The following is a 13278-nucleotide window of genomic DNA, read 5'->3' on the forward strand; positions in this document are numbered from 1 at the left end:
GCAGGAAGGACAGAGTGCCCCATAGCAGACACCACCAGGATGTTGAGTGGGGTGAGAACCCAAGAGCAACCAGAGGATCTAGGAACACGGAGGCCCCGTCCCAGGCTCCTGACCAGGGGACTTTCAATGCTGCCAGACTGGAGTGGGCTGAAGATGAATTGCGGAAGACCACCACATAGTCAGGATGGTGGACTGGGGGAAGGGGCAGGGGGTGTGTTTAGCTGGAAAATACACATGGGAAGCTTTTGGGGTGTTGACAATCTCCTATTTATTGACCCAGGTGGTGGCTGTATATTAAACTCCATATTTACTTTCATAATTTTTTCAGAATTTGACAATAAGAGATTAGAAAAGTGAGATTAGGAGAGGGGGAAGTAGAGAAGGCAAGTGCAGACCTCCTCTTCTGGGAAGTGGGGCTGAGCTGGCCCTGGGCTCTGGGGCCAGTTGAGTGGGAGCCACTGGCAGGCTTTTGGGATGGGGGAGGATCAGACACGCCTTTTAGATAGCGCCACATCCCAGAAGGGAAGGGGAGGAAAGGAGGAGCCCCGTGGCACTAATCAAAGTAAACAGGGGTGGAACATGTGAGTGTATGAGCTCCTAGGACACAGAGAAAAACAAATATCGCCAGGCACGGTGGGTCACGCCTGTAATCCCAGCACTTTGGGAGGCTGAGGCGGGCAGGTCACCTGAGGTTGGGAGTCCAAGACCAGTCTGACCAACATGGAGAAACCCCCTCTCTACTAAAAATACAAAAAAATTAGCCGGGTGTGGTGGCACATGCCTGTAATCCCAGCTACTCGGGAGGCTGAGGCAGGAGAATCGTTTGAACCTGGGAGGTGGAGGTTGCGTTGAGCCAAGATTGTGCCACTGCATTCCAGCCTGGGCAACAAGAGCGAAACTCCGTTTCAAAATATATATATATAAATATATATATATATAAATATATATATATAAATATATATATATATCAAAGTCCCACAATCCATCCAAAAATAAACCCAAACCAAAAACTTGACATTAACAGAATCATTCAAATTCCATCAAATTATGCTTGTAGAAAATTATGCACTGTCCTCCTTATTTATCATTTCTCATCCATATTTATGTCAACCTGGGCTCCTGGAATGACCTGTGTTTTTAAATCTATACCAATCACACCCTATTTTAACCATCAGGCTGGCTCTGCTGGAGACAAAAATACTCCCAATACTCCCACCACCTTGTTACAGAAACACAACACAGCCAAGGCCAACCCTTCTGTAGCGAGTTGATGAGCTGAGATCGGCCGTGAGGAGCTCACTTTTTCACCCCTCTCAGAGAACACTGGACATGAGCTGCCTTTAATAGATACCATCTTGGCAGGGTGCAGTGGCTCACGCCTGTAACCTCAGCACTTTGGGAGGCTGAGGTGGGCAGATCACCTAAGATCAGGAGTTGGAGAACAGTCTGGCCAACGTGGCGAAACCTCGTCTCTATTAAAAATACAAAAATTAGCTGGGCACGGTGGCACATGCCTGTAATCCCAGCTACTCAGGAGGCTGAGACAGGAAAATCACTTGAACCCGGGAGGCAAAGGTTGCAGTGAGCCGAGATCGCACCACTGCACTCCAGCCTGGGCGACAGAGCAAGACCCCATCTCAAAAAAAAAAAAAAAAGGTACCATCTCCTCAAGTTCATGTAAGGTATATGCCCTTTTGTTGGGCAAACACACAGCCTTTATCTGCTCCAAAAGAGTGGAAAGTCTAGAACGGATCCCAAAGAACAGGATCGTGTTCTCAAGTGACCACATCACCAACACCCAACCACAGGCCCAGGCCACCACCACCCAGAGGAAAAGAACGAGTATCAACTTCCCTGGGGAGAGATGCACCTCAACATGACCGGTGACATGGTAGTGTGGTAGTCAACAAGTGGAAAATCTTTCATGATTAAAATAGAAAAAGCAGAATTCCAGAAAGCTCACTAAATAGGTATTTCTGGGCTGGGTGTGGTGGCTCACACCTGTAATCCCAGCACTTTGGGAGGCTGAGGTGGGTGGATCACCTGAGGTCAGGTGTTTGAAACCAGCCTGGCCAAGATGGTGAAACCCCATCTCTACTAAAAATACAAAAATTAGCTGGGCATGGTGGTACATGCCCATAATCTCAGCTACTAGGGAGGGTGAGGCAGGAGAATCGCTTGAACCCGGGAGGCGGAGGTTTCATTGAGCCGAGATCACGCCACTGCACTCCAGCCTGGGCAACAGAGCAAGACTCTGTCTCAAAAAAACAAAAAAAAAAACCCAAAAACAACAAAAAGTAGGTATTTCTGGGGATAAACGCTGGTATAAATTAGTAAGAAATCTGAAGCATGAAGTCTTTTAACAGGTTAATGGCTGTCAGATAAATGGACAAAACAGAATTAAGGGGGTCAAGTCAAACCTGGTGGAAGTAAACAGGGGAACAGTGTGGGTAACATAACAGCAGCGTGCCAGGACACCTCTTACTCAGGTGAGATGAACATTGCTGCACTGGCCACAGCGCCCACTGGTTTGAGGCCTTACCAGATGCCTTTACACCCATTACCTCATTTTATACTTAAAAAAAAACCCTGCAAAAAAAAAAATTATTATCTCCACTTTACCAGTGCTGACACTTCACCAATGTAGGGCTCTCAGTGACTAGCCCAGGGTCATGCACAGCCTGTTTCAGCAGCTACCTTGGACTTGAACCCAGCTCGGTCTGTCTGACTCAATGCCTATAGTCTTAACCTTTCCAGCAGCTGCTTCTTTGTCAAACAGGTCCTCCCGCAGGGTTTCACAGCCCAGCCCCTTACTCAACAAGTATTTATTGACAGGCCTCAGGAACACTAGGCAAGTAGGATAGCAATGAACAAGATGCTGACCTTGACCTTGACCCTGCATCCATAGTATGAGCATTTTAACTGGGGGAGGTTTGCAAAGTTCTCTTAAACAGTCTACTACATGCTCTGTAAGCATTTTCTTATGGATAACATAAACCTCATTTTAAAAATAGTTGAGACATTACAACCTGTCACAAAAACTCAGACAAAATGCTTCTAGTTATCTTGAGGTTTTAGAGCTTAAATTTAAAATACCACCACATTTTTCTCAGCTTCCAGTGCTAAGACAAAAAACAGCTAAGTTTTCAACTGATATCTACTTTTCTAGATCAGCAACTCTCCTTTTTTCCTCCTTTAGGAGTCTGTGCTGGTTAGGACAACCCAGAGAGCACCTGTAAGGAGGACCTTCCCCACCCAGGGCACACCAGGAGAGCAGCCCTGACAGGGAGGTGGCAGCTCCAGCCTCCTCCTTGGGGCCCACACTTTCTCATGGGCCCAGCAGCAGCCAAACACAGACAGAGCCACGTGTGGCTTCTGTGTGGCTCCCAATCTCAGGCAAGGGTAGCTGGTCTGAGGCGCTCTCCTCCTGCTTCCCCCTCAGCAGCTGAGGTGCCCACGGCGTTCTCATCCCACAGGCACAGCAGTGTGAGGCAGCCGACTGTGCTTACGTGGATCTCCCTGACTGACTCCCTTTGAGCTCTTGCACATGCTAATTTGTAAATAAATATCAAGAAAACCAAATGATATTAAAATCCTCTTCTCATTCAGCACAGTAAGGACACAGTCTAGGAAAGGGGGTCTAGGACTGACCAGCCCTGTGCTTCCCATCTGATTAACAAGGGTGGCCAAACAGAGCTAAGAACCCAAACCATGGGGAGAAGGGGCAGGTTTCCACTCAAGACTTTCTGATCAAACCACCAAACCCCCCCAGGTCCTCCTAGTTGCTTTGAATTTAATAATATTCCTAGGCTCTGTAAGTTACTGGCATTTTCATTCATATTTTCAATTCTTCCAGAATCAATATTTTTATAAATGGCTTTTAGGTCCAGTCTGAAAAGTATGTAAATGTCTACACTGTATTTTATTTCCCATATTCTCCAAATATCAACATGACCAGTCTTCTCAGATGATTGCAAAATTGAAATGACATCTTTAAGGTGGCCAAAATAATTGTTATGATGTTTCTCCCATTAGTTAAGATTCAGTTTATTTTGTAGTTTTACTTAACCCAGTAAAGAAATTTAAAATTTCACAGTTGAATTATAATAGAATATTTAAGGATCAAAATGAACTAGAACCAAACATGACCTGGAGAGATTCCAGCTTTTCCTTGGAGCCAACAGGCACGTGATCCTTTCATGGCCAGAGTGGCCGCTTGTACTCACTGTCAGATTCCAGTTGATCTGGGGGATCCTCATGTGCAGGTTGAGACTGAACATAATCAGCAAGACGCCAGTCACCACAAACGCACTGCAGCTCACAAACTCAAAAAAGTAGAGGCCTTCACACGGGGAGCATGCCATGATGGTCTCTATGCAGATGAATGCAATCAGGGCCAAGATCTAGGAAGAAAATTGGAAACATATATGTACGTATATGTTTAGTATACATCTGCGGACATACGTACCTGCCATGCTTATATAACACTGAACAACAACATACTGCCACTGAGTTTTCCTCTGGGACAGCAGTGTAACTGTCGGAAATCAGACCTGCTTCAATTCTTACCTAAAGAATAGGTGCAGGGGTCTTAATGGAAGGATCAAATTACTAATGTAAACAGTGAAGGCCCCACCACATACACTGAAATCAATCTGGTGTGATGTGGCCCCCGGGTGTAAACTGCTGGCCCTTGGGAGGAAGCAGAAACATCTCTACAATGTTTCTAGGTCTTCTCCTGCCACCAATAAGTAAGTGGGTGTTGCCTATGTGTGTTTCTAATTCATGGTCTCTACCACAATTATCCCAAACACTGGGAGAGCAGAATTCTGATGGTGTCTGACTTGTGCCATCTGCAGTTACCTTGGTGGCTCCTGCTAAAGTCACACAGGTTAACTGGGACTCCTGACGGCTTTAAAACAATGATTGGTATAATCTCCTTTTCCCCCAATTAGGTGGGAACAAGAGGCGCACCTAATTAATTCATATGGTTTTAAAAAATATATTTTTTGAACTTGATCACAACAAGATGGCAGCTTATTAAAAAACATTAAGAAATCTACCAATAATAGAATAAATTTCTAGGCTGGGCACGGGGGCTCATGCCTGTAATCCCAGTACTTTGGGAGGCCAAGGTTGGCAGATCACCGGAGGTCTGGAGTTCAAGACCAGCCTGACCAACATGGAGAAACCCCCTCTCTACTAAAAATACAAAATCAGCCGGGTGTGGTGGCGCATGCTTGTAATCCCAGCTACTCAGGAGGCTGAGGCAGGAGAATCGCATGAACCTGGGAGGTAGAGGTTGCAGTAAGCTGAGATCGCGCCATTGCACTCTAGCCTGGGCAACAAGAACGAAATTCCATCTCAAAAAAAAAGAATAAATTTTTTTCTGAAGGACCAAAGTACCATTCTGGCAATATGTCCTAAGAGTTCATAGATCATAAAATCAAATAGATATTGATAGAAATTACCAAGTGAACTTTTAAAGGGGGATTTCAGGAGAAGGAGGAGGCCCAAAGGCGGAGTTAATGGCCCTGTGATCAAAGAAAGGTTTCGAGCACCTAAAGCCAGATCAGTCTCAGGCTCCCGCTCCGCCCAGTTCAGTGGCATCTGAAGCCTATGCCGCTGCTTCCAGGCTGGCCTCCACCTCAAAAGTCAAGGAAGCAGAGGCAGGCAGCTCTGTGGTCCTCTAGAGACTTGTCCTTTAGAGCTTGTGGGAAATGCAGAATCTCTGCTTCCTCCCCTTGAACTACAGAATCAGAATCTGCTTTCTGATGAGATCTTCAGATGATTAAAATGCCAGCAGCATCCAAGGCACGGGCTGTTCTGGGGCCTTTCTCCACCTGCTGAAAGTCCTACTCATGCTTTCCAATGCTCCACTTGATGATGCCGCCACCTCCTCCCCATGTCTTCCCTGACTGCTTCTCCCTGCCAGACATCAGCTTATCCCACCCTCTCCCAGGAAAGCTGGTTCATCTGTGATTGCATTCTATCCTTACCATCTTGCAGCCTCTGCCTCCGGAGCTTTTAGGGGGCAGGGTAGTCCATCCCCATCTACCCCCAAGGCACCAAGCACAGTAACTTTCACATAGCTGGCAGATGGGGGCTGAATGAGCCATTAGAAAACCCACATCTACAATTCCTGGTTGCCTGGTCAGTGTCTTCAGGCGAATGGAAGAGTGGTTCTGCCTTTCCCATTGTCAATACTTCTACACAGAACCTCTTTCCTAACAATATGTGGTCTTTTCTAAGTCAACACATTAAAGACATGGGTCTTCTTGGTCAAAGGATACAAAATTTCAGTTAGACAGGAAGAATAAGTTCAAGAGATCTATTGTACAACATGGTGACTTAGTCAACAACAATGTATTGCATTGTATTGTTGAGAGGAGATTTTAGGCTGGGTGTGGTGGCTCATGCCTGTAATCCCAGCACTTTGGGAGGCTGAGGCAGGTGGATCACCTGAGGTCAGGAGTTCGAGACCAGCCTGATTAACACGGTGAAACCCCGTCTCTACTAAAAATACAAAAATTAGATGGACATGGTGGTGGGCGCCTGTAATCCTAGCTACTTGGGAGGCTGAGGCAGGAGAATCACTTGAAACCCGGGAGGCGGAGGTTGCAGTGAGCTGAGATCGTGCCACTGCACTCTAGCCTGGGCGACAGAGTGAGACTCCATCTCAAAAAAAACAAAAACAAAAGCAAACAAACAAACAGAGTAGATTTTAAATGTTCTCACCACAAAAAAAAAAAACAAAGGTAAGTATGTGAGATAATGCACGTTACCTCACTGGATTGAGCCATTCCACATTGTATACACATTTAGAAACATCATGCTGTACACAGTAAATATAGAGATTTTTACTTGTCAATAACACAAAAGATATGGGTCTTTAAATATACACACTGTGCTTCTCCTAATAGCTCTTCTTATAATTCTCTACTGCACCATAGACTTTAATTCTCCATCTGAATTACATGCCTAACTTGCAATCAATTCACAAAAGAAATAGTTCACATAAGGGAAACTCCTAAACTTTCCCCTTTTTTTCACCCCAGTAATCAGATCTAGTAATCTTGGGCAAGAAATAACACACTGTACTGATGAGTTACAAATGTTTCTGGTATGCTAACTTCAACCATATTTGTGTGGGAAGGTAACACCTACATTCTTAAATATTAACATAAAAATGGCTTCACGGATATGCAAATCTAATAGACCATTTGTTGTGGCAGTGAACAAAACAGACAAAAACTCCTGCTCTTAGCTCACAGTCTAATAAAGGAGTTGTTTTTTTTTAAATTACATTTAAAAAGAGTGAGTTAGTGATAAGAACGAAGGAGAAAAATGGAAGCAGGGAAGGTGAACAAAGCATAGCTGGGGCAAAGGTGTTCGAAAGTTTAGACACAGAGACCAGGAAGAGTGGCTCATGCCTGTAATCCCTTTGGGAGTACAGCACTTCAGGAGGTTGAGGCGGGTGGATTGCTTGAGGCCAGGAGTTCCATACCAGCCTGGCCAACATGGCGAAATCCTGTCTCTACTAAAAATACAAAAAGTAGCTGGGCATGGTAGCACATGCCTGTAATCCCAGCACATCAAAAGGCTGAGGTGGGTGGATCGCTTGAGGCCAGGAATTCCAGACCAGCATGGCCAACATGACAAAACTTTGTCTCTACTAAAAATACAAAAATTAGCCAGATGTGGTGCTGCACACCTGTAATCCCAGCTACCAGGGAGGCTAATGCATGAGAATCCCTTGAACCTGGGAGGCGGAAGTTGCAGTGAGTGGAGACTGTGCCACTGCACTCCTGCTTGGGTGACAGAGTGAGACTCTAAAAAAATTTTAACATAAAATAAAGTTTAGGGCAGGCGCAGTGGCTCACAGCTGTAATCCCAGCACTATGGGAGGCCGAGGCGGGTGGATCACATGAGGTCAGGAGTTCGAGATCAGCCTGGCCAACATGGTGAAACCACTAACTGGGCATGGTGGCGCACGCCTGTAATCCCAGCTACTCCGGAGGCTGAAACAAGAGAACTGCTTGAGCCTGGGGGCGGAGGTTGCAGTGAGCTGAGATCGCGCCACTACACTGCACTCCAGCCTGGGTGATAGAGTGAGACTCTGTCTCAAAAAAAATAATAAAAATAAATAAAGTTTAGACAGAGTGTCCCTGGAGGGTGCTATTTGAGACAGAGTTGCCGAACATATAAGGGACAGCTGTCTGGAGAAAGAGCACTGGAGGCAGAGTGGGGAGCAAGGTGAGATCCCTGGGAAGGGGGTCAGGTGGCCCCTAGGGAGAATCACAGGAGGGAGGTCAGACCCAAAGAGCGCTTGGGTGCAGTGAGGTATGCGGCTCTCACTCTGAGTGTGATGGAAGCACCAGAGAGTGGCAGGATCTCCTTTGGGTCTTAAAAGGGCCACCAGCTACTTTGCGGAGAACAGACTACAGTGAGGACAAGGGCAGAAGCCAGGAGGAGAGTGACAAGACCCTTGCAACAATGAATAGGGCTGACCTATTACCTTGCAGAAATGACTTCACAGGTGTGTGACTGCACAGGCTCAGTCAGAAAAGTTAGCATGGTTCCTGCCTTGCTCTCTCTTAGACCACTCATGATGGGGAAAAACCAGCTGCCATGTCTTGAGGGTACTCAAGCAGCCCTATGGAGAGGTATAGGTGCCAAGAACTAAAGCCTCCTGCCAACAGCCATGTTGAACAAGCCGTCTTAGACATAGGTCCTCCAGCCCCAGGCAAGCCTTCAGATGACATAGCCCTAGCCAAAAGCTTGACTGCAACCTCCTGAGAGAACCAGAGCAAAGCCACCCCCCAAATTCCTGACACACAGAAATGAAAAGAAAAGAAAGATCTGATTCTTGTTTGTTTGCTTTTTTAAGACAGGGTCTTCCTCTGTCACCCAGGGGGTGCAGTGATGCAATCATAGCTCACTGCAACCTTGAACTCCTAGACTCAAGTGACCCTCCTACCTCAAACTTTCGAGTAGCTGGAACTACAGGGGCACACCACCATGCCCAGATAATTCTTTATTTTGTAGAGACAGGGTCTCACACAGGCTGGTCTCAAACTCCTGGCCTCAAGAGATCCTCCCGCCTCAGCCTCCCAAAGCACTGGGATTACTGGTCTCAGCCACTGTGGCCCGCCTAAGATGTCTTGTTTTAAGTCACAAAGTTTTAAGGTAATTAGTTATGCAGCAATAAATAATATATCAGGGAGGGAAAACTCTTGTTGTTATAAAACATTAATATTCTACTCATTACTCATTGATTACAGGTACATACAAATCAAACACCTTATAGGCACTTCTTGTTTTTTATCATTTAGTTCCCCAGTACAACCTTATGAGGTAGATATTAGCCCCATTTTACAGATAAGGAAATTAAGGTTCTGTGACATATAGATAGCAAGAAGCGGTGCCAGGATGTAATAGCCAAGATTTGATTCTCAGTCTCTCCAGTTCTTACTGCCCCACTATGTTATTTCCCTATTAGCTTCTCACCCATAAAATTATACCTGCCTCCTTTCCAAATCTCAAATGGTCACTGTGTTCAAAATCCAAACAAAAATATATGTAAAAGGGCTCTACAAATGACAAAATGCTATATACAAAATAAGAAAATAACATGTTATAACCTACACCTATTTAAACCATAAAATACCTATTATATATCTTATTTTCCAGCCCACTTTTTCTGCTAAATAGTGTTTCCACAGGTATGTCCACATATAGATGTTACTTTTAATAATTACATGTATTCATATGTAATTACATAGACAGATACATAAATACACACATATACACCTCTATACACAACCACAATTTAATTGATCCCCTATTGATAGGCATTTAGATGGTTTCTAATACTCTGCTGTTACAAGCAAAACATTTTTTTGTCTGACATTGGACACAGCAAAATGTCAACATTTTCTCTAGCACAGTGAAATCTAATCACTGCTGAAATAAAAACTACCTATTGACCAAGAAGGGCTCAGATAAAGTGATACTAGAAGCCAACAACTTCAAGGGAACCAAAGAGTCAAAAATAGTTCAACTTATAACAACCTTGAAGTGAGCAAATGTCACGTGAACAAATTATACAGAGATGTCCAAAAAGATGTATATAAGAAAAAACTTTTTTGTTTACTAATCATGCGATTATGGATGCCCTTGGAGAGAGTCCTTTCCAGGTGGCAACTACAAACTGACCAGAGTAAATATTTTAATATTTGATAAGTAAACTGGGCCAGGTACAGTGGCTCACACCTGTAATCCCAGCACTTTGGGAGGCCAAGGGAGTTGGATCACTTGAGGCCAGGAATTCCAGACCAGCCTGACCAACACAGTGAAACCCCTGTCTCTACTAAAAATACAAAAAATTAGCTGGGTGTGGTGGCACATGCCTGTAATCCCAGCTAGGCAGGAGGCTGAGGCATGAAAATCACTTGAACCCTGGAGGTAGAGTTTGCAATGAGCCGAGATCGCGCCACTGCACTCCAGCCTGGGTGACGAAGGGAGACTTCATCACCAAAACAAACAAACGAACAAACAAAACCAGAATTGATATTAACAGGTTGTCAGATTTCCACAACTGTGGCAAATTATGATTGGCAGCATCTAAAAGCAGGAAGAGAAGGAAAGAGAGAGGACTGGCTGATGAAGTTACCATAATAGTCATCCTTCCACTCTAACTTTCTGTCACAGCTTCTTGTGCCAGGCAATAATGAAATAGCAATTTTTGGTTTTGTTTCGTTTGTTGCCAGAGTCTCTGTCGCCCAGGCTGGAATGCAGTGGTGAGATCTTGGCAAGTGCAACCTCTGCTTCCCGGGTTCAAGTGATTGTCCTGCTTCAGCCTCCTGAGTAGCTGGGATTACAGGCACCTGCCACCAAGGCCGGCTAATTTTTGTACTTTTAGTAGAGACAGGGTTTCGTCATGTTGGTCAGGCTGGTCTCAAACTCCTGACCTCAAGTGATCCACCCACCTCAGCCCTGCAAAGTACTGGGATTACAGGCATGAGCCACTGCACCCAGCCACAGTGGGCATTTTTGGCATTCAGCTAACTGGAAGTTGAGTGAGGGATACATTAAATTTGGGTTTAGCTGCCGGTTCCACGTGTGGTTAAGCTACCGTAGCACTCCCAGTGGAGGAATGGCTTTCACATATGCTCTGACACCACTGCACAGGCTCATCTGACATTATGACAATGGAACAGACCCCAAACTTCATGAGATAAACTGTCCTATGATGACCAACTAGAAATATGTGGGTAGTAGAGGAGAAATAGGGTTTGAAACATACGGAGCCAGAAGCTTGTCTGTGGGAAATTCTTCAGATCATCAAATGCATAAAATTGTAAGTACAGAATTCTATTGTCATCAGTGCCTAAATGAGAGTTGTGTCTTATCAGGAAAATACTCAGTAATGTAGTGTATGCAACTATAAATGCACTAAACGTTTTCTCCCTTTTTTGATGGGAGCCACATGAAATAGAATTTATCAGAATTCCAGGGTGTGTAGGGCACAAAACTGTGGCAGTACTATAAACAGCAAGTACTTCTTATTTTTATTATTATTATTATTTTGATATGGAGTTTCGCTCTTGCAGCCCAGGCTGGAGTGCAATGGCATGATCTCGGCTCACCGCAACCTCTGCCTTCCGGGTTCAAGCGATTCTCCTGTCTCAGCCTCCCAAGTAGCTGGGATTACAGGTGCCCACCACCACACCCAGCTAGTTTTTGTATTTTTAGTAGAGACGGGGTTTCATCATGTTGGCCAGGCTGGTCTCAAACTCCTGACCCCAGGTGATCCACCCACCTTGGCCTCCCAAAGTGCTAGGATTACAGGTGTGAGCCACCGCCCCCGGCCAACAGCCAAGTACTTCTGTGCAGGAGTTTGGAGTTTTATGTCTCCCAATGTACCAGATCGCATCTTGATACAGCTGATGAATTTTAAATTGACAAAGTCTGACAATCCCAAATAAAATGGCACACAAAATTGCTTCCAACTCACTGAAACAGCATGAAGAAACAAGTGTTCAGTGACAAACTCCTACACATGTTCATCAATAAACCAGTGAATGGGGCCTCAGAACATATTGACCGTATAATGACATGACGTTGCTCGAAACAATGTAGTGGCAACCTAAAATCTGAACTGCACTTGTGTACACCGAAATGTCAGGTAGACTTTGTATACTTTTTCAGAATTACTGATCATACTGAAGTTCAAATCTACGAAGGATCTATTGCAGTGGAGGCCAAAACAAAAACAGAAAGAAAATGCTTTTTAAATTTGTAATTTATTGTTTCCTGTTGGATGTCAAAAGAAGGCCCCCCCTTTGTCATTTAGTGTGTTTCTTATTTTAAAACAATATTCACTATTGTACCTGTCTTGTGTTTTTGTCTTTCTTTTTCCAAAATCATGAGTCTTAAGCTCCTCAAAACCTGTACCTACTGCTAGGTTTGGACAATGAGGTGTGAGTGGGGTAGACCCCTGTCGTGACCCTTGGCAGCAGCCTTTTGGAACTACAGACAGTTCCACCATGCTCCTTCCCTGCCACAGCAGCCTGCAATGTTCCAGACCCAGGGCGGGGGAGGGGAATGACCAATAAACACATCAACAGATGCTCAACTTCACTTCCAACAAGAGAAATGCAAACTGAGGTACCCTTTTCATCTACTCGATTCATAAAAATTATAAAGTGATATCCCATACTGGTGAGAAAATGTCAAATCAGGCCATTTTCCACACTGATGGTGAGGGTACAGACCAGCATGGCATGCAGACAGTGATCTCCCAATCCTTGTCAAAATTGGCCGGGCACGGTGGCTCATGCCTGTAATCCCAGCACTTTGGGAGGCCAAGGTAGGCGGATCACCTGAGGTCAGGAGTTTGAGACCAGCCTGGCCAACATGGTGAAACCCAGTCTCTACTAAAAATACAAAAATTATCTGGGCATGGTGGCAGGCGCCTGTAATCCCAACTACTTGGGAGGCTGAGGCAAGAGAATCACTTGAACCTGGGAGGCGGAGGTTGCAGTGAACTGAGATTGCGTCACTGCACTCCAGCCTGGGCAACAAGAGCAAAACTCCATCTCAAAGAAAAAACATGGCCAGGCACAGTGGCTCACGCCTGCAATCCCAGCACTTTGGGAGGCCAAGGCGGGTGGATCATGAGGTCAGGAGTTTAAGACCAGCCTGGTCAAGATGGTGAAACCCTGTCTCTACTAAAAATACAAAAATTAGCCAGGCATGGTGGCGGGCACATAT

The 13278-nt window shown here is 45.1% G+C and overlaps 1 protein-coding gene across 6 annotated transcripts in view, besides 1 other annotated feature; it reads right to left on the reverse strand.

The window, feature by feature from the left end:
* Positions 1-13278, reverse strand: part of CMTM4 (CKLF like MARVEL transmembrane domain containing 4) — a 98566-nt gene that overhangs the window by 34001 nt on the left and 51287 nt on the right. For all 6 annotated transcript variants that reach the window (XR_933209.3, XR_933210.3, XM_017022954.2 and 3 more), the window contains exon 2: positions 4227-4403. Coding sequence is in view for 4 of the 6 variants with exons in the window: in XM_017022954.2 (XP_016878443.1) it covers positions 4227-4403 (177 nt within the window). In the remaining 2 variants the exon portion in view is untranslated. The remainder of the gene's footprint in view (positions 1-4226; positions 4404-13278) is intronic.
* Positions 11554-11732: a silencer, noted in NCBI's record as "fragment chr16:66677635-66677813 (GRCh37/hg19 assembly coordinates)". NCBI's record gives its function as "represses an EF-1alpha promoter that drives an FKBP-Casp9 reporter gene in an ReSE screen in K562 erythroleukemia cells {active_cell/tissue: K562}" and the evidence as "EXISTENCE:reporter gene assay evidence [ECO:0000049][PMID:32094911]".

Source organism: Homo sapiens, chromosome 16 (genome assembly GCF_000001405.40).
Source record: "Homo sapiens chromosome 16, GRCh38.p14 Primary Assembly".
NCBI classification, from domain to species: Eukaryota; Metazoa; Chordata; class Mammalia; order Primates; family Hominidae; genus Homo; species Homo sapiens.